This window comes from Homo sapiens, chromosome 20, assembly GCF_000001405.40.
Source record: "Homo sapiens chromosome 20, GRCh38.p14 Primary Assembly".
NCBI classification, from domain to species: domain Eukaryota; kingdom Metazoa; phylum Chordata; class Mammalia; order Primates; family Hominidae; genus Homo; species Homo sapiens.
In genome coordinates this window covers 9,150,418-9,173,276 of record NC_000020.11, presented here as the reverse complement: position 1 = coordinate 9,173,276, position 22,859 = coordinate 9,150,418, and the positions used below count along the sequence as shown (strand labels likewise).

The 22,859-nt window shown below is 38.9% G+C and overlaps 1 protein-coding gene across 11 annotated transcripts in view; it reads right to left on the bottom strand.

Moving 5' to 3' along the window:
* The window catches only part of PLCB4 (phospholipase C beta 4), a 412,131-nt gene that overhangs the window by 307,532 nt on the left and 81,740 nt on the right, over positions 1–22,859 (bottom strand). Inside the window, exon 1 of one of the 11 annotated variants that reach the window (XM_006723569.3) lies at positions 6,582–6,949. The exons of the other annotated variants lie outside the window; for them this stretch is intronic. The gene's annotated coding sequence lies outside the window, so the exon portion shown is untranslated. Of the gene's footprint in view, positions 1–6,581; positions 6,950–22,859 lie in introns of those variants that run through there. 11 annotated transcript variants of the gene reach the window in all.

Below are 22,859 nucleotides of genomic sequence, written 5' to 3'. Positions count from 1 at the left end.
TGGTCAAAACATTGACTACTGCTCTTTATTTTCTTATTGAGTAGGTCCAATCATGCGATGCATCTAACTAAGGACACAGGATGGATAAAACAATGCAATGCCTTTTACTGGCTCAACGCTACACCCCAGACCACAGACCACACCAAAGCTTTGCAAGGCCAACCAAGAGTTCAGCAGTTGACAGAGCTCCTATATTTACAGCCAGGAGGCACTGCAAGCAAAGCATAGTTCATCATCTGTTCCCAAGTCTTTGGAAACTGAACTTCAGAGTGAGATTTTTCTTATATTCTAGATCATGGATGGGGTCAACCTGCACTATGGAGTCATTCTACAAAATGAAATTATTTCAGAAAAACAATTTGCTCTTTGCAGATAACAGGAATTATTAAAGTGCCAAACATTATTACTGAAACATGGCCAGACATATGGAAGTAACTTTTAAAAACAAAGACAAAAACAAAACAGAAAACCCCAGATTATTTTGCCTTAATATAATCCTCCTGTTAATTCTGTTCTTAGGGCGAGTTGACAGGGGAAGGGGAAAATGAGGTTTATCATGTTTGCAGAGACAGTGGCCTCTCTTAACATTCAGGCACTCGGCCAACAATATTTATTAAATGACAGTTTTCCAAAACACTAAACAAGAAAAGGAAATGCGAATGGAAATGCAAAATAAGTGTTAAGATGGTGTTTCTGCAAAGAGGACTTACATTGGAAGACATGGGAAGACTAATACATAAAATATAATTAGAGAGTAATTAACAGTCTTTATCTACACAGGAGAGTAACACCAAAAGGTTTATAAGCCAATGCAATATGCACTCAGGAAAGGGAGAGATGGACAGGGATTTGACTTATAGCAGTGAGGAAAGCTTCAGCAAGGTGAGGTTTTATGCTTAACTTTCAAGGATAGGTAGGATGTATGTAGAAAATGAGTAAGATATTCCACTCAACAGGGAATTGGCTTGGTGACTTCTCTCTTATTATGGAATCTTAAGTTTTTAGTTGAAGCTGAAAACATACTAAAACTGGCATTAAATGGTGGTCCTTTGTTATATGATGAATTCTTATATTCTAGATCATGGATGGGGTCAACCTGCTCTATGGAGTCATTCTACAAAATGAAATTATTTCAGAAAAACAATTTGCTCTTTGCAGATGAAAGGAATTATTAAAGTGCCAAACATTATTACTGAAACATGGCCAGACACATGGAAGTAACTTTTAAAAACAAAGACAAAAACAAAACAGAAAACCCCAAATTATTTTGCCTTAATATAATCCTCCTGTTAATTCTGTTCTTGACAAGTTGACAGGGGAAGGGGAAAATGAGGTTTATCATGTTTGCAGAGACAGTGGCCTCTGCAAGCACTCTGCCAAATATGGAAGATCGATTGATATTTCTTTCCATTCCATTGAGGCTTAAAATTATGAGGAGGGGGGAAATAGTCATTATTTCCCACAATTCTCCACTTACATAATACACAACTGCACAAATAAATGCAGATAATATGCTTCTGCCGCCTCCAATTACATCATCAGATGAAATATTCAAAGTAGAAGTCTCAGATACTGTTGCAACCCAGTAGAATGATGCTTAAATTTATAACCTGAATTTATTTTTCTTAAAACATGGCTCTCTGAGTTATTTTTTTGCCAAAACTGACTGTAGCAAGTGTTTGCAATACTTGTTCTGTCCTTTCCTCTCAGAGAAAAGCAACTATAAATTAAGTAACTTGGAAAACAAGATTAGAATAAATATGCACATACAGATTCTTGTTGTTCTGGTCTATAGTTTGACAACTATACATTAGCCCTAACAAAATATGGTCTCTGGTTTTAATTTTTGAATAGACAGCTGCTGAATATTTGTGCAGTTTGGTTCTAAGGATTGCATACTGTACTTTTTGAAACTACTGGAATATTCTCTTGCATTCTTTTGTGAGCAAGGAAACGTAAACTGTCTACTAAATGATGTACCTTTGAAAATCACTACATATTTCTTTGTAGCATTCTAAAGGGGACTGTAAAAGAAGCTTCTGAGCGCCTACCATATGATAGGTAACTCCAAGTTATACAATGTGGATTTCTTACAGAAAATACCTGAATAAACCCATCGTTTATAAATCATATTCACACACACACAAAAAAACTATGTCAAGGTGTGAATAAGAGCTTAAGGAGCTGTGTGAGTTTTCAGAGATGAGTCTCATATTCCACTGAAGTAGTGATTTGTGAAAAGGAGCAAACCAAAAATGGGAGTTTCATGGTACCGTCAAAGAACTCAATGTGAGCACTTTACAGCCCCTAAACAACTTTATGGTGCTGGTATAACTCATTCATTTTGACCATATCCCTACCGCTATGTTAGATATTCAAAAACTGCTTCTTCATGACCAAAGAGATTGTGGTACATTTTAACTTTCTGCCTCCAGGCCATTTTGAGAGTCTGGCAATTCAGACAATTAGCTTTCTGGATAGCTGAGGTTTTACCGACTCTGTGAACCCACATCAGGGCAGATCCAAATCAACCCCAGACCTTGTTAGGTACCTGAAGGTAAAGCTGACTGAAACTACTGCCCACAAACATGGAATGTCATGAATTATCATTATTACAAGGATAGAGCTTTCTGTTTCTGAAGAAGCAGTGTGAACCAACTTATATTTCAGGCTAAATGATGAGGTTACTGTATCCTCAAACACAATCTTCGTAGGAAACAGCTGCCTGAAAGAGGAGTTTTTTTTCTTTATATCCAGAGAAACCAGGTGTGTCAGCCCAAAGAACCTCTCAGAACATGGTTTACCTCCATGTCTTTGCATCTCTATTTATGTTATCTCACCAGCCATCTCATAAAACATGATAAGAATCAATAAAGTCATTGGAAAACATCTGTACCAAGTAAAAAACAGATAATCTAAGCTACTCTTGTTAAAACTTTAGTTCTGTCAGAAATAAATTAGTCCTAACAAACTAAATATTAATTTGTAAGAAAGTGTTGTACAACATGCATTCCTAAGTATGAAAGTAACTTGCATGAAATAAAACTGATCAAAGCACAATTTTGAAGAAATAAACTAACCACAGATCACTTGCAATCAGTAAATCCTTCTTTGGAGAGACTCAAAAAAGAACGTAAAGGTTGGGGAAGGAATGCAGGAACTTTCTCCGGTGGTGGTAATGTTCTATATCTTGCCAGGACTGATTTATCTGGGTGCGTCCACTTGTTGAAAGTTCAAGCTATGTACAAGTAAGGATGTGTGCATTTCATCGAATAGAAATTTCGTATGAATAACTGATAAGAAATATTGAACTCCAGTTAATAATAAGCATGCTGGAATATACAAACTATGCCTGCAGTTTATTTTTAAATCCATCAAAAATAAGACAGTGAAAGACAGAGGGATAAGTGGATGGACAGATAATAAAGGCAATAAAGTGTTCATGGTAGAATCTAGGAGGTGAATACACAGCTGTTCATTGTAAAATTCTTTCAAATTACTATATGTTTGAAATTTTCACAAACAATGTTGTGGAGGAAAGTACAATGGGAAGGAATCACTGAAGAATTTGGAGTATCACACCAACACCCCACTGCCCACTTCCTTCCCTTCAGGAGTTCAATTCACATGGTATCTAGAACCCTGGCAGAGTATTTATTTATTTATTTATTTATTTATTTATTTATTTATTAGACAGTCTTGCTCCGTCACCCAGGCTGGAGCGCAGTGGCACGGTCTCAGCTTACTGCAACCTCTGCCTCCCGTTTCAAGCGATTCTCCTGCCTCAGCCTCCAGAGTAGTTGGGATTACAGGTGTGCACCACCACGCCGGGCTAATTTTTTTTTTTTTTTTTAAGAGATGGGGTTTCACCATGTTGGCCTGGCTGGTCTCAAACTCCTGACCTCAAGTAATCTTCCTGCTTCGGCCTCCCAGAGTGCTGGAATTACAGACTGGCAAAGTGTTTACATTGAGAACTCAAGACACATATCTCACAAGCTGAGACATGGAAAGTTTTTATGAAAATCAAATGCCCAAAACTGGATTATTACATTGGAAAATTGTGTGTTAAGTGAGAGGAAGGAAGCAGCTCCTCACAAATAAAGTTTCTATATTTAAATTCACAGGGAGCTAAAGTGGAGCACCTGCAAGCCAGATTGGGCAGAGGATGCCACAGAAGACTCAGGTTCAAGATGCAAATCAAACTCAATGCATTTAAAAGGCTCCTGATTGGCAGGACATGAGGGCAGACAGGAGAAGAGGATGAGCCCTTGGTGGTTGTAGCAACCGCAAAGGGAGACTTGAGCTTGAAAGGTGGGTGTTGAGCTTGAACGCTTTCTTAATTGGTGGCTGCTTGGGCTGACAGGCAGGAGTTGGGGCTGCCAAGGATGACGAGTCCTGGAAAAGACTGCTGTGGAAGTTCAGCAGAGGTGACAATCCCACACATTTCTACCAGAGAAAACAAGCCACACATCATCAGTTATATCAGCCACAAAGCGGCCAGTGTCACCAGCTAGTCGATTCCCCTCAATCACATCTCAGTCATGAGCTTCGCAAACTGACTGCCCACTATGGACAGACAATGTCCATTAAGTGAAAAACAATGACCTGAGCAGTTATTTGGTATCTGGTGGTGTAGCTCCTCGCTAGTCAAAGTGTGGTCCCTGAAATGGTGGCATTAGCAGCACCTGGGAGCCTGTTAGCAATGCAGAATCTCAGGCCTCATCACCCCACACCTGCTGTGGTACAATATGCAGTTAACAAAATCACAAATGATTCACACGCACATTAAAGTGTGGAAAACAGTGGAGTGATCCGATAACAAGCCCACAGACCGAGTCTCAATTACTTGGGTCTTCTCAACAGCAGCTTCATCAACAGCGTCACCTTCAGAGAAGACAGGTGCAGGTAAACAGGTGCAGGTAAACAGGTAAGCAACATTAAGCCTTGCACACCTTGTCTCCTGGAAGCACCTTCTCCTGCTCTATAATGCTTCAGTTCTAGCCTCCATCTGTATAAGATAACTTACCCCAAAGCCCCGGGAGAGTCTATAAAGATAAAACACAGTTGAACTTGTGTTGAAAATTTGGAAAGTTTCATATGCTTTAATGTGTCTGGAAATATTCTCTGTATCTTTGGAGAGTGCATCACTTTATATGTAATTGCTCTTTAATGTAAAAAGCACATAAAGTGGTTTTTTTCCAACAGGTAATAACTATCAAAGGAATTCTTAGGCCACTGTCCCTGCTTCAGCTATAAAAGACAGCTGTGAAAGTTCTTCATGCACCCTTAAAAATTGCCATAGAATGTTGCATATTATTCATGTATAAATCTGTCGAAAATAAGTTTATTTTAATGGTCATGCTTTGTTTACTTCAGTCATTATAATTAAGATTGTTTATGCTCAAATATCTGTGGCTAGTCATGGTTTCACCGTTTGTTTCATAACTACATGTGTTTAAGGCGTGCCTAACTGAAAAAATAAAGTACGCAAATATGAAATATGTTTCTAAAGCTATTCAAAGCCAATTATTCGGTACTAAGTACAAGTTTCATACTTCAGCATCACTCCTCTGTCCATGAACATGTGCATATTATATGAAAAAATGGGTTTTAGAAACATAATTACCAAATACACAAACCAACTTTCTAAGTTGTTAATTTTTACTCTCTGATTTCAGAAAGGAATTTTACATAATGGCTCATTAACTTTCCAAGACAATGAATAAGTACGCGTTCATGTTCAAAGTATATTTTTATTCTCACTTCTTATTTAGGAAAAGAGACTTGAAAATAATCATTTTACCCATCTGAATATGGTTGAACAAAAAAAGTGGCAATCAAAACAAAATACTGAAATATGTCCCATATTTTCATTACTAATTATGAAAAAGAAAAATGAATTAGCTTTTTAAAATTTATGCCTTATAAAAAAAGTTTAACATCATCTGTGCTTTATCACATTATATTTAAGTATTCACAGAAAGTATTATCAAGGGACTGTTTTTTTTTAATAGACCTCATTTCTTAGAGCAGTTTTATGTTCATAGCAAAACTGAGCAGAAGGTACATAGATTTCCCATATATCCCCTGTCCCCACACACAGTTAATTTTTAAAATATGGAGTGTGATAAATAAAACACACCAAGAAATCCTACCAGCCAAGCAAATCATACCTATACATGTCTTATGGAAAACTCTATTCGAGTTACAGTTAGGTTTAGGAAAATTTTATAAAAAGAGATATTAAAATAAATATCTAATTGATGCCAAAATTACCACAAAATCACAGTGTCTAATATACTTTGTTGGCACAATTTTGTCTTCAATTTCTCTCTTATAAGAAAGTCTAAAGAAAAAAGTAATAATAAATATAACAATTTTCATGGGAAGTTTGGGTTCTCTAAGCAATATAGTATTTTCTATCACTAAATACAGCTATATCTGCTTACCTTCAGGGACCATGAAAATAAAACCGTGATAGCCCTCTACAAACAACAGAAACCATAAACTTAACAAAACTGCCCCCTCTATATAAATCTTAACTGCTATTCCTAAAGCCATTTTTCAGTATGCTTTTTTACCTGAAAAGGAGTCAGTAGGATTTCAACCTCACTCAGTCAGAAACAGGCACTGGAGAGCACGCCTGAGGCAGGTGGAGAACTTCAGAGGCAGTCACAGGTCTAGGATAAGCTCGCCCCTTCCAGAATGGGAAGGGGCAGGAGCCTCGGGATGAATTAGCCGGAGAAGCCAGGGACTATAACGCTGGTCCTTTCACGCAGAGTCCCACCCCTCCGCTACAAAGTGAGAGGCTGGGCAAACAGTGCCCACAGCCACAACAAAATATCCAGAGAGAGTGGCTGAGAGAGACTCTTTCAACTACCCTAAGTCGAACAACAAATACAGCAAACGCTTGTCACAGGCATATTGCCGAGGAACACTGCCCGGGAATGAGTAAGAGGCCCCAAACATAACAAGAAGAGCCACCTGATCAGAGGTTGGGTGTTTGTTTATAATAGGAAGAGTAAAATTGGAAGGCCACACCTGAACTCTTCCTTAAAACAAATCTTTGTTTTTTCTATACTGAAGTCTACAAAAAATTCAGGATATAAACTGAAAGAAAGGCACAACTGATTGCCCACAATTCAGGAAATGTAGTAACTTGGTTATAATATATTCATAATCTCTGTTCCAACCTCCCCAGTTGGGCTGGCATCTTTTACTGTTTTTCTCCTTTATAATACCTTCAGAGTTCAAGAAAGGAAATAAAACTTTAAAAATTTTTAAGTTACAAGTAGCACTGATATAAAGAAAAATAATTAAGAACTACTGTCTAAAATGAGATCTAGAGATTATCTGCCTTGCACAGATAGTAAAATGTTGAGACTTTTGTCCTGTTGGTATAACTCAAGAGGATTTTAATTCTACATCAAATTAACATGGTAACACACACACACACACACACACACACACACACACACACACAAACAGCCCCAGGTTTACCCATCCATCGGTGACAGCGTTACAATAAAAAATTTGGCATTTCCCAAAATGCTCAGAGAATGTAAAATGTTCTGCAAAACAAGGTTCCAGGATGTTTTAGGATGGCCAATCCACACTAATGTAAGTAGAATTCTATTCTGCAGGATTTCTCCAAGTTTTTAGTATGCTTATTTTCATTATAAATCTGTTAGAAGAGATTTTATGCTGTGCCTCCCACATTTAGTTAATCATGGGACCCTGTATTTGAGAGGCATCCAGAGAGAATTGTATTTTGTGAGAAAGATTTGGAAAATGCCAAAAACTCCAGATTTCATTTGCCAATTTTTAATCCACCAAGCTGATATTGTGACAAGTTTTCAACGCACTTGGTAAAATCATTAAATTATTAGGCTCCCCATCTGTCCCAACTTGTACTACTATCTCTAAAAATTACAGTGTGATCAGTACTAGATTTCACACTATTATAAAGCTTTCCCAAATGAAAGTATAGCGAATGGAAGCACACCCTACAGGTATTTAGTGGATATTTAGTATATGCTTTGCATTACACTAGAACATATAAGAAACAGCATGTTTTGTGCCCTCGAGAAGCTGGACTTTTTGTTTTGAACCTTGGCAGTTGCTATAGCGGGCACGTGCCTGTACTGTGGCCATCCATTTGCTCTCAAAAGCCGACTGTCAGACCTCAGAGATGAACATTCAGCCAATATATCATACAGAGTGGGCACCCAAGCCAAAATGCTGATGCAGGCTAGAAGTAACCATAAAAAACACCACCCAAATGCAATAGTGTTTGCATGCATATGTGCACATTTCAACCACTTTTACACAGGCAGACTCAAGAGGAAGAAACTGAGTCATGGCACCTCCAGCAAACCACGTGTAAAACCTGACTCTACCTCAAACGTTTCCATCAGTCTCAAGTCCTAGCATCCTGCAGTTCCCTCCACCTCCCCAGAAATCTCCTGACAGTCTATTGCTCTTATTTATATTGAAAAGACAGTTTTCAGGATAGAACCACAGAATAGACTGGTGGTTCACAGCTACTCCACAAAGATAATTAAGTCAACACTGCATATATTCATCCACTTGACTACTAAAGAACAAACTACTTCACACAAGTTATTTTTCCCAATCATGCCCCTGAAAGATTGAAATCTTTCTAAACTGAGTTATACTCTTCTAATGCTTCTAATAAGAAAATATTTAATATAATTTTAAAATGTCTTCAGTTTATATAGATTCTAATCAGTCAACAGAATCATAACTAAAATATTGTATTTAAGAGACTGTCATATGATGAGAAAAATATTTTACTTAAAAAATGATTCAGAAGACATGAGATGGTTTGATGTTGGGCAAGTCACTTAATTTCCCTGAGCCCCAGTTTCTTCATCTGTAAAACAGCAATAAAATCACTTCCCTCACAAGGGTGCATGCAAATAAAAAAAAAAGACTCCAAAGATTGGGGCAACTATTAGATACACATCATAATAACACTATAACATCTTGAGAAAATGTTCTTTCAGCCACCATTTACTGAAGGCCTGCCATGTGACAAAAAACAGGCAGTGAAACAGTCACTGTTTAATATGAAAACGATGCAGCTGTGTCTCATTATAATCAATGGCTACAGTCTGGGATGTTTTAAAAATTAATTGGTAAAGTAAAACAAGTTTATTGAAAAAGTTCAGACCACAGAAGGAATAAAGTTAAAAGTAAAAATACCCTTCATCTTTTGTATTAATTATAACCACTGCTTACTTTTAAGTTTGCCTATAATCACTTTTTTGGATGACTCACGCAAAATAGTTTCCTTTCAATAAATGAACTTATCTCGTTTACATTATGATTTCTAATAAGCAGGTGGTTCATCTTAATTCTATTATTTCAATTTATTATGCTTCCTGGTTTGATATTTTCTTTTGTTCTGATGTTTGCAATGTAATTTATTTAAATATGAAATGGAGGCAAATTACGGTATATAGAATGTAATAAAAATGTGATAAATCATGATCATGTAAAAAATAATAAATAGCATGATCAAGAGATTGGAAAAATGGAAGAAAATATGAATGTTCACGTTTTAAATTTTTCATATTTAGGACTCAACAGATACTGTCTAAAGTGAATAAATCTATAAGCATAATATTTTATTATTCCCATTTACAAAAATTTATTACCACAAAAAAGAAAAAACAGAATATAAACATAAATTATAGAAAGGAAAAAAAAAACATGGAGGATACTGTATAATCTACGAAACAAAACATCAAAAGAGGAACAAGTTCTGCTTCTCCAGGAACCCGCCTAGGGCTTCAACCTCTCTGTTCCCAATTAGGGATTTTGGCCATGACCTTGCAAAAAATCCACCTGCTGGGGCTCTAAGAGACACATATTTTGACTCTGCTCAGATTTGCTCCAAATTTGGCAGATATTCTTCAGAGGCTTAACATTTGGGGTTTAGCCATTCTCTACTTTTAGTGAAAAATTTCCCCCCACTTTTAGTTATTTTTTTCATCCCGGCAGTTTCAGAAAACAGAGTCGACATGTTTACTCAAGTTCCTTTAACAGAAACCCATCTCCCAATTTAGTTAGTTTCTTATTATTTTCTACATTCTTTAGTTTTCTGCCTCTCCACTACCCCTTCTAGCCACTGCTCCCCTTCCAATCTCTTGGTACTAAAATCAGTGGCTGAGCCAGCTTCCAAGGCCTGCAAAAGACAACTGTGTGCATCTATTCCCATCCCCAGGTTCAGTGATGCTGAACTGCTAGCTTAAAATTGGCCATGGTAAGAATATTTAAACCCCAGAAATTGGTAAAAATACAAATCACCTCCACCCCACCAGTGGTTAAATGTATACCAGCATACCCCCGGAAAGGTCTGTACATTTTAAAAAACAGCTTTTCAGAACAATATGTAAAGTAAGACTATAAACATTTTTACTGAGAACAAGATAAGGCTTTTAGGCTTTTTTTTAAATGAGCTAATATTGCACCTCCACAAGAGGCACTGGTATAATATATTTATTATTCACATTTACAATAGTTTATTACCACAAAAAAGGAAAAACACAATATAAATGTAAATTATAGAAAGAAAAAAACATGGAGGATGTTGTACATTCTAGGAAACAAAACATAATTGATGAACGTAACTACTATAGGACTAGTAAACATGAACGAAGGCTGTGTTTCCAGAGCAAATACCATCCTTTCCAATTCCCTTTAATATAAATATACAGCATCTTTTCCCATATTAACTCCGAATAGCATATTGAATCTGTTTTTTGACTCTCATTACTGAGGAGTTTAAGAAAGCACCAACATATTAATTCACCATGACGTGACAGTTAAGAAAACTTTTTAGGTACAGGTATACCTCTGCTTCTCTCTTTCCTCTTGCCCAATACCCAAAACATACACAAATCGCCACATTTTGCTTCCTTTTCCTCCAAAAGTCTATGGATTAAAGACAAAACAATTATGTAATAATGCCCTTGATCCTTTCAACCTTGCAAAAGATTGACTTTAAAGCTGACAACCCAGGATGCTCAGGGTAAAGTCAACTCATTGTTTCAGGGAACAAGGGACAAATTAGCAGAGAACATTATTTTAAAGCAGGGTATGACATTCTAATAAACACTGCCAATTCCATCTGCCTGGGTCATCCACTCTAATGAATCGTGAAACTAAAAGATTTGACAAAAAAAACAGAACATGCTAAAGAAATAAAGGATATAAACTTAAATATCATATGAATTAAAATTCTCATCAATGTTCCTCCAGCTCTTCATGCTGGCTGCATTGAACATCTATTATAGTATCAGTGATTATCGGCATTAATGTATTCTGCCAATAGTATTAGTGTTATTTAATTTTAGTTTATTAATAATTATCTTTTCGTATCACAGAATGGAACCTCTGTTTTGATTCACCAGGTAACAAACACTCTTTTTTGTAGAATCTAAAAAGTGAAAAAGCAGTTACCTTTCAAGTTAGAACAGAATCCACAGAACAATAAAAATGCTTCATAAGTTATTTTGTCTACATACTTTATTCTACTCCAAGAAAAAAAATATACAAAGTCCAATACAAGCAATGCTGGGTATTATTCAGAAGACATAGCTTCACTTTTGTCTCTTCGAGTCAATAAAATAAAATTTATTTCACAGAACATGATTTGTGCACTGGCAATGGCTGCAAGCCAGACTTTCCTATGATTAACCAAACACTGGTAATCAACAGCTCCTGGGTGGTAAAATCAGCCAGACAGCACAACATGGTAGGTAAGAGCAGCGGATTGCACTCCAACAAACCTGGGTTGGCATCAGAGCGATTTGATTTTGGACAAGTTAACCTCTCTACTGTCCATCTTCTCACTGAGTTCACAAGCCAACGTTATCTTCCCTATAAAACTAGAACTTTCCCTTTAAAATTAGTAAAAACCATGAACCACTTAGGATAAATGCTAACTATAAAATGCAGTTCTCAAAAAGGCAAGGGATTACTTAACATGTGGAAAGAACCTAGGTTTTCAAATCAAATAAGCTGCGTTCAAACCCTAGCCCCATTATGTACCAGCTGTTTATGGGGCATTGGACTAATTACAAACCTTATAAACTTGTTTCCTGATTTGTAAAATTGGGATAATGATATCTATCTAAAAACTTTTACATATCTCAAATAACCACTGTCTCAAAAATAATTTATATTTATCTGTCAGCACAGAGTAAGTGCTGAGATGTCAGCTGCCTTGCTGCTTGAGATTTCATTGTTTGAATCACTTGCTAATGCAACTCTGGCTCGCTTTCTGCTTTCACTCAACTTGGAAGCACTTCTCCTCTCTAGCAAACTATCTGAAGACCTGCCACTAATAAAAGTCCTTTTCATGCTATTTCAGGCTGCCAGCATGAGTAATTTCCCAAGAGAAAGAACCTTATTTTCTAGTATGTTCTGCTAATCCTCCAAACCCGAAGTCCAGAAGAAACCTCTCTGTTTTCCACAAGGCTTCTCCCTTTTCTATGCCCTTGCAGGCTCTCCCTTCTCACAAAGATACACAGAACAAAGGAGCAGAAGTTACCTCCACCATTACCTCGGTCTAGAAAACAGCTTGTAACTATTCTTTGTCATTATAAGAAAGCAGCTCCTCACTCCAAGCTCACTTTCTGCATTCTTTTTTAGTTGCAAAAACTGAAATTGATTCTATTTCTTCAGGAAGCTATAAAACATGCATGCACACACACAGGCACATATTTTGTTGTGGTTTCCTGTCACCAAGCAAAAATTATAAAATACCAAAAACATCAGCTGCCCAATTTAACTCTGTGCGTTCATTTACTCAACACGTATCTACTGAGTGCCCACCATGCTCCCGGCGCTGTGTCAGGTGCCAGGTATATACGGATGAATAAACAGACATGGTCCACTTCCTTGAGGACCTAACTATCCTGGACTTCTTTCATCTTTTCCCCAAGCCAGGACACACTTCTAACGAGCTCTGGTTTCCAAAACCTAGCCCAGGGCAGGGCAGGACAATTAAGGGCTACATCTAAATAAGCCACAGCAAATGTTAGAGACCCACCCCCCACACTCCCAGCCACAATTCTCTACTCAACAGATGAAACCTGCACATAAAGGTGCTCTCTATTATGCCACCAAACGGAGTTGGATCCAGCTCACCCTGCTGTCCTGGCTAGAACTGAGCAGCAGCTCCTTGGCGACACAGGTCCTGTGGCAGCTTTAGTGTGGAGGGACGTTCAGCTTGTCTTCCTGTAGTATGGCCACCTCTTCTCCCTAACTATGGGCAACTAAACAGGCCTAAAATCTATCAGAAGCCTTCTGAAGTTCACGAGCACACTGAACGGTAAAAGACCATTGTAATAATTTCACCATCCATGCAAGCCACAGTTAATATCTTGCTATGACTTTGGAACCATAATATTTAATATTAGTGTTTAATATTTAAATATAATATTTCAAAATAGATACTGAGCAAGATGAAGCCAGTTTCATTCACCATCTTTATGTCTGTAAAAACTTTCATCAAGCCAAGCTCTCTGCCCTCCTGGGCTCACTGTGTATAGAGGAGCTACTGCTAACGGAATCATCTTGATTAAGAATTCATATACTGTAAAAGGCATCAGAAAAACATAATCAGAATACAGGGAAATTATATGATCAGATAATCAGCAAAACCTTCAGATGCAGATTAACTTATTGTTCAACTGATGAGTCTTAAGTATGTTCATGAATTGCTTTTAAAGAGGTCTTGGGAATTAAGAAGATCCCTCTTATCACACAAAAACATGCTAAATCTCTTTATTTTAAACTCAAAGATGAAAAGACACCTTTTACTTTTTGCACTATAATCAATATATAATAATCCTATGTTAATCATGCATATCATACACTGTCCTCTTGGTAACAAAGGGACACTAGTCCCAATGGTCTCCAACATGTACTTGAGAAAGCTTAAAGCTCTCTGATGTTTCAACCAATAAGTATCTGTCAAGGATAAAAAAAGGATCAATTTAAGGCCATTTTCTAAGTAGTCTGATTTAAAATTCAGGAGTAACCACACCTTCTTAGATAATAACTTGGATAAAAATCACCCATACATCTTCCCACAAAGCAACCTAAACTGGCCTTCTAGAGACCAGATAAAGTGGTAAGGGACTTTAGGGCTAATCATTCAGATAATAGCTTTACTTGGATTGGCTTAATAATACAGGCCTGAATTCATTTAAACATCTTTCTGCTTCACTTTCCCTAAGATAATTCTAAAAACAGTACAACATCTTTGTATTTTAGACAAGTGATTCTCAGAGTGTAGGAGCCATTAACACTAATAAACTACAAGGTGATTTTAGATGATTTACAAATTCAGTATGGAATAAGACAGACTCTCCTAGTAGAAAAATTTAATCCCTGACTCTGAACTGATTGCATCAAATAGTCTCAACCCTATAGAGCATGCCTTTAAAATCTCTCTGTCTCAATAAAGAAAGGACGTCCTCTGACGCAGGGTTTTTGGCAGCCAGTGGCATCTACTTAGGATTGAATAACACTAAATGGTTTTCACTGTTTAGTTTTTATTGGGTATCTACTATTTGCACACATAATAGTTTTCCATTTAAGATAGAGGTGTAAGGTTTCTCTTTTAAATACTGTTTTGTACGGTTAAAAAAAAAAAAAAACGTGAGAGTGGCCAGGTGCAGTGGCTCACGCCTGTAATCCCAGCACTTTGGGAGGCCAAGGAGGGTGGATTACATGAGGTCAGGAGTTTGAGACAGGCCTGGCCAGCATGGTAAAATCCCAAATCTATTAAAAAAAAAAAAAAAATTAGCCAGGTGTGGAGACACTTGCCCATAGTCTCAGCTACTTGGGAGGCTGATGGAGGAGGATCACTTGAACCCGGAAGGTGGAGGCTACAGTGAGCTGAGATCATGTCACCACACTACAGCTTGGGCAACAGAGCAAGACTCTGTCTCAAAAAAAAAAAGTGAGAAACATTAAATAATAATAGAAGTAAAATACAACTATGGCAAAAAGCATGCAGATGGTATCTGTATGACTGATATTGGGAAACACTGTTTGAAAATACTTGTAGTGTAGTGATTATAATAGCCTGGGTTTGAATCCTAGCTTTGAAACTTCCTTGCCGTGTGACTTTGGGCAAATTACTTAGAATCCTTGTGCCTTGGTTCCCTCATCTGTAAAATGGAGACAAGGATAGTACCTACTTCAAAGGGTTATCGTGAAGATAAATGGTGGAACAGGTAAAGGGCCGAAAGGCTAGCTGACATATAGGAAGAATTCAACATAAATTAGTTTTGCTTGTTTGAGATAGGGTCTCACTCTGTTGCCCAGGCTAGAGTGAAATGGCATGATCACAGCTCACTGCAGCCTCAAACTCTTGGGCTCAGGAGGCTCCTTAGCCACAGTCTCCCAAATAGCTAGGACCACGCACCATCACACCCAGCATAAATGAGCTACTACCAGTAAAATTACTAGTATTTTGTAAATATATCTAGATGAGTAATTATATACTCAAACTCAACTCTTTGGTCTGTGAATTACAACATAAGAGAAGGAGGCTTCTTCATGGACTCTTGTATAGATGAAAGGGAAAGCTCATTTTGTTGTTTTATTTTTTAAATGAAATGTCAAACAATTGAGGAGTCTCATAAACCCATGTGACTCCCCAGGAATGAGAAAATCAAGTGCACTATCTTGAATTCCACACTATAGTTTCCTTCTCTCCCTACTTAAAGGTTCCAATTTTTAATTACTAAGAGTTAAAAATGAGGCTGCCATTCCTTACCTATATGACACCAACCAAAATGTATTTAAACCAGACACAAGGTTCCTTCAGCATTTTAACATTCTGCCCAATTCATGCAGCATCCCAAGAATTGCTATCTTCATGAATGTTAGCACAGTAAATGACTTTTTGTTTAAATTATAGCCACTTTCCATGCAATGAGACTTTTTGAAAATCTGCTTGAATATAAAAGGCAAGTTGGTATCTCTTATTTATCTTTTTTTTTTTTTCATATGATTTTTCTCTGTCCTTGGCTTCCAGGGGAATTCCTCCATTTGTTCATGTAGCTTAATGTGAGCATCTTGATGAATCAGAAAATGCACTGGGGAAGTTACTTCATATTAACATTGTGTGCCTTCTTCACTCCACTCCATTTAGCAGGCATTTTGGACTAAAATAGCGAAGAACAGAGGAAGAACATTGTGCAGTGACATGGACTAGTGATCCGTGAGGTCCAGCCAAGCTCCGTGTCTGCTCTCTGGGGGATAATAAGGCCTCCTGAATAATCAACTTGAGTTGATCCATCTAGTTCAACTAGTTATAAGCTCCACTAAAGCCCAAAGAGGGAAAGAAGGAAGGAAGGAAGGAAGGAAGGAAGGGAGGGAGGGAGGGAGGGAGGGAGGGAGGGAGGCAACCCTGTAACCAACATGAAGGAAAATGGTTAACAATAAAATTAATGCTGATTGCAAATGTAACCTTCAAGATTCACAGAGCCCAGTAATCCCTCAAAGAACAGATAATACGATCTGATTGCTTTTGAATGTCAAATGTACCTGAAAGAAATAGCTATGTAAATTGCCACAGCAACCTATGTACTAAGAGTCTAAGTTAATTTCTAAAACCTAAGTCAATGCCCCCTCCCCTCTCAATTCTGTCAAAATTAGACCTTTACTTCTCTAACTTTTCCATGTACAGTACTCACACCTACAGAGGCAGTTAGTCCTTCAGCATGAATATGAAACAGGTCTGCAGTGCTAGGCTACCTGGGTGCAAACCTCAGGTCTGTGCAACACTGGCATGTTACTTAACCTTTCTGTGCCTCAATTCCATCATCTCAGAATGGGACTGTAATAACACTTACCTCATAAGCCTGTTGAGAACTGTACCTAGCACATAGTTAGTGCCATGTCAGTGTTACATATTATGAGTAATGGTCATATGTGACCTGTACGTGACTTCTCGAATACATTGAGAGAGGTATTGCCCATTTTATGGATGAGGAGACTGCATGTTTCCAGTGTTAAAGAGCTGCCCACAGGACTTCCAGAAACAATCTGGAGATGAAGAACAGAAGTACCCATGGCAGATGACTGAAGAAGCACTGAAAGTGTACAGAAAAAAGGTCTTCTTAGTGACCATCATAATTTTTTAAGTGTTGATAGCTTATGCATACATTGCACAGTCTATGACTGGAAGAATTTAACAGACTAAGACAACGGATATTGACCTATAAAGAGAAGTTCTCCACGATGTTTGCTATTGGCTGTCTCAAAACACTCTCTCCTCACTCGTAACTTATTGTCCATACTGTATTTACTTGTCTTGTGTGTTCTGGAGGCACACACAAAAAAAAGTGAGAAAGAGCTAAAGTGGGCACGATGTAGGTATAGTCTATGAGGTTATGTTTATGCCACATGTCTTACTCCCTGGGAGTTTAGCTACAGAGCACAAAGGAAATGGGGCATCACTATTGTCCCAAAAAACATCAAGTGAGATCAGGAAACCCACCCACTCAGAAGTCTTATTCACCAGCTGGTGGTTTCACTGAGCTTTGAGGATCCCAACACACTGAGGCAGGTAAAGACAACTGATTTAATCCCATCAACCTAGCTGCCATCGTGTTCAATGAACAGAAATTTTAACTGGGTGAGTTTGTGGAAACAGAGAAAGAAAAGGTACAGAAAGAATCAAGCATCCATACAAATTAAGCTTTTCCTCCCTGGGACACTGCAGTAGATTGACAGCTAAAAAGGCCCTGAATCTCAAGTTCTTCAGCTTTCCACACCCTTTGTAAAGTGACTTTGCAGCTCTTTTCAACAAAGAATTGAGTCTTCACAATTCACAATTGCAAAGATGTGGAACCAACCTAAGTGCCCATCAACTAATGAATGGATAAAGAAAATGTGGTACATATACACCATGGAATACTATTCAGCCATTAAAAGGAACAAAATAATGTCTTTTGCAGCAACTTGGATGGCGCTGGAGACATTATTCTAAATCAAGTAACACAGGAGTGGAAAATCAAAAACCACATGTTCTCACTTATAAGAGGGAGCTAAGCTATAAGTAAGCAAAGGCATAGAGAGTGATATAATGGACTTTACAGACTCAGAAGGGGAAGGGTGGGAGGGGGGCCAGGGGCAAAAAACTACCTATTAAGTACAATGTACACTGCTTGTGTGATAGGTGCACTAAAATCTCAGAATTCACCACTACATAATTCATCCATGTAACCAAAAACCACTTGTACCCCAAAAGCAGAAGGAAGGAAGGAAGGAAGGAAGGAAGGAAGGAAGGAAGGAAGGAAGGAAGGAAGGAAGGAGGGAAGGAGGGAAGGAGGGAAGGAAAGAAGGAAGGAAGGGAGGGAGAGAGGGAGGGAAAAAGGAAGGAAAGAAGGGAGGGAAAGGAAAGGAAAGGAAAAGAAAGGAAAGGAAAGAGGGAAAGGAAAGGAGGGAGGGAAAGGAAAGGAGGGAGGGAAAGGAAAGGAGGGAGGGAGGGAGAGGGTTGTGGGAGAGGTGGTCAAATAAATGTGGAAAATGTTGTAGCTCCTAGACTCTGCTAAGATCTGGTACAGTGCATGGTATATGGTAGCTGATCAATATCTGTTGAATGACATAAAGTGTGCTTCTCCAAACACTGTTTCCCCCAGGAAAGGGGGCCAGAGTGAAGCAGATTTAGGAGCTGTGTATGTTCATTATGCACACCAGCCACAGACGACTGAGCATTATTAGAGAAACACACACCAACAAAATTCACCTTTTAATGTTAACTCCATCATTTCAAAACTTTTGGTTGTGGCATTAGTATTCCAATCCCAAATGTAGCAGAAATTGCCAGTTATAACTCAATAGTCATTCTCCTCTCCATCATCAGTAAGAGAGCCCCAATTTTATTCAGGCAGTTGCCCAAAACAAGACTACATTTCCCAGGCTCTCCTGCACTGAGATGTGACCATGTGACCAAATATTGGTCAAGAAAAATTTTTTTAAAGTGTTATATGGAACTTAAGAGTAAGATGACAAAAATGGCAGGAGATGCCTCAACTAAAAGGATTCCTTTCTTCTCTCTAATCCCTCCTCGCTGCACATGTGCACTGTGGACCTGATGGCCTAAACCGAACTTTGCCCAAGTGACCAATGGAAAATGGAAAGATCAAGATAGTGGACCAGAAAGATGGGAGTCTGGGATCCTGATCTGACTGGAATATCATGCAGCTTCCTAACTTCTCATCAGTACCATGTAGCCTATTTTGAAAAATTACTTTTTCCTACAGAAAAGGAGTCATTACTTTTATTTCAATAAAAAGAAATAATGACCGGATTTGCTCTGTTCTCCAAAAATAATGCTGAACACCTACATACCTAAATGCCCACCTTGTTTGCAAAATTTTGGTTGATTATAATAATCATTTCCTGATGAAGAATGGAGAGCCAAATACTAGGAAGAAAGAACACTGAGTGAATTCACCTATGCACCTTATTCCTCCCCTTATCGTATCACTCACTGAATGAAAACGTACCTGGGCCACCCACTTTGACTTTCCCTTGTGGCTCCTCTTTAAACATCCAATTACAAATAAATTTAAAGCCATTGTATTAGTTTGTTTTCATGCTGATGATAAAGACATATCCGAGACCGGGAAGAAAAAAAGGTTTAATTGGACTTACAGTTCCACATGGTTAGGGAGGCCTCAGAATCATGGCGGGAGGTTGAAAGGCACTTCTTACATGGCAGCAGCAAGAGAAAATGAGGAAGAAGCAAGAGTGGGAACCCCTGATAAACCCATCAGATCTCAAGATGTATTCACTATCAAGAGAATAACACGGCAAAGACCAACCCCCATGATTTAATTACCTCCCCCTGGGACACTCCCACAAGACATGGGAATTCTGGGAGACACAATTCAAGTTGAGTTTTGGATGGGGACACAGGCAAACAAAATCATTCCACCCTTGGCCCCTCCAAATCACATGTCCTTACATTTCAAACCCAATCATGCCTTCCCAACAGCCCCCCAAAGTCTTAACTCATTTCAGCATCAACCCAAAGTCCACAGTTCAAAGTCTCATCTGAGATAAGGCAAGTCACTTCTGCCTATGAGCCTGTAAAATCAAAAGCAAGCTAGTTACTTCCTAGATAGTGAGGGTACAAGTATTGGGTAAATACAGCTGTTCCAAATAGGAGGCATTGGCCAAAACGAAGGGGTTACAGGGCCGATACAAGTCTGAAATCCAGCAGAGCTGTCAAATGTTAAAGCTCCAAAATGATCTCCTTTGACTCCAGGTCTCACACCCAGGTCACATTGATACAAGAGATATGTTCCCATGGTCTTGGGCAGCTCCACCCCTACGGCTTTGCAGGGTACAGCCTCCCTCCCAGATGCTTTCATGGGCTGGCATTGAGTGTTTGTTTGCAGCTTTTCCAGGCACATGGTGCAAGCTGTCAGTAGGTCTACCATTTTGGGGTCTGGAGGATAGTGGCCTTCTTCCCACAACTCCACTAGGCAGTGCCCCAGTAGGGTATCTGTGTGAGGACTCTGACCCCATTCCCTTCCACGATGCCCTAGCAGAAGTTCTCCATGAAGTTCCCCGCCCCTGCAGCAAACTTTTGCCTGGGCATACAGGCATTTCCGTACATCTTCTGAAATCTAGGTGAAGTTTCCCAAACCTCAGTGCTTGACTTCTGTGCACCCACAGGCTCAACACAACATGGAAGCTGCCAAGGCTTAGGGCTTCTACACTTTGAAGCCACAGCCCAAGCTCTATGTTAGCCCCTTTCAGCCATGGCTGGAGCAGCTTGGACACAAGGCACTATGTCCCTAGGCTGTACACCACACAGGGACACTGGGCCCGGCCCATGAAATCATTTTTTCCTCCTAGACCTCTGGGTCTGTGATGGGAAGGGCTGCTGTGAAGGTCTCTGATATGGCCTGGAGACATTTTCTCCATGGTCTTGGGGATTAACATTAGGCTCCTTGCTACTTATGCAAATTTCTGTAGCCAGCTTGAATTTCTCCCCAGAAAATGGGTTTTTCTTTTCTGTCACAGTCAGTTTGCAAATTTTCCAAACTTTTATGCTCTGCTTCCCTTATAAAACTGAAAGCCTTTAACAGCATCCAAGTCACCTCTTGAATGCTGAGCTGCTTGGAAATTTCTTCCACCAGATACCGTATATTATCTCTCTCAAGTTTAAAGTTCCACAGATCTCTAAGGCAGGGGCAAAATGCTGCCATTCTCTTTGCCAAAACATAATAAGAGTCACCTTTGCTCCAGTTCCCAACAAGTTCCTCATCTCCAACTGAGATCACCTCAGCCTGGATTTTATTGTCTATATCACTATCAGCATTTTGGGCAAAGCCATTCAACAAGTCTCTAGGAAGTTCCAAACTTTCCCACATTTTCCTATCTTCTTCTGAGCCCTTCAAACTGTTCCAATCTCTGCCTGTTACCCAGTTCCAAAGTCACTTCCATATTTTCGGGTATCTTTTCAGCAACGCCCCACTCTACTGGTACCAATTTACTGTATTAGTTTGTTTTCACACTGCTGATAAAGACATATCCAAGACCGGGAAGAAAAAAAGGTTTAATTGGACTTACAGTTCCACATGGCTGGGGAGGCCTCAGAATCATGGCGGGAGGCTGAAAGGCACTTCTAACATGGCAGCAGCAAGAGAAAATGAGGAAGAAGCAAAAGTGGAAACCCCTGATAAACCCATCAGATTTCATGAGACTTATTCACTACCATGAGAATAACACAGCAAAGACCAACCCCCATGATTTAATTACCTCCCCCTGGGTCCCTCCCACCACATGTGGGAATTCTGGGTGATAAAATTTAGTTGAGATTTGGATGGGGACATAGCCAAACCATATCAGCCATCCCTCAGTATCTGTAAGGGAATGGTTCCAGGATCCCCCACAGGTACCAAAACTCACAGATGCTCAAGTCCCTTATATAAAATGGCATAATATTTGTATATAACCTATGCACGTTCTCCCATATACTTGAAACCATCACTGGAGTACTTATAATACCCAATACAATGTAAATGCTACATAAATATTTGTTATGCTGTTTTTATTTATACTATTTTTATTGTTGTATTGTTAAATTTTTTGAATATTTTCTATCCGAGCTTAGTTGAATCCATGGATGCAGAACTGGCAGATATGGAGGGCCTACTGTATTTGTTTAGATTGTTTCCTCAGGGAAACCCAGAAATTAAATCACTTTGCCAACAAGGCCAGAAAAACAAATCATTTGTGTTGTGGCTGAGCCATAAGGCTCCCATCATAAACACAAGCAGAGCCTGCACAGCTTTGCTCTCACAAAGCCATTTGGGGGAAGATTTTTATGGCAACAGCTGAAATGTTTCTACCAAAACAACACCTACACTTTGCTAGAGTTATTTTCGGAGGAGAAGGTTTCCCCTACTGCTGCTTAAATCGTCCAAATGTGTAGTGAAAAGCCTAGGCTCGCAGTGAATCTGGCAGCCCTGGCAGGAGAACTTCTCTGCCACTTCTTGGCTGGGTGACCTGGGGCAGGTCACTTAACTTCACTGACCTCAGGCCTCCTTCTAAACTAGGAATCTCAGCACCTTAGAGTCATCCTGAGAACTGACGAGACGATGCATGTTTAGCACCATGGCTACATAGTAAGTATTCAAAAAATGGAAGCTGCATTGATTTGTACCAAATTTGATGCTAAATACCTTGAATACCTTAAGGAATAAAGATACAAGAACCTATGGGTAAGCCATATTTAAAGACACCACATTAAAAGTCATAGGAAAGTACAAATGTGCATGACA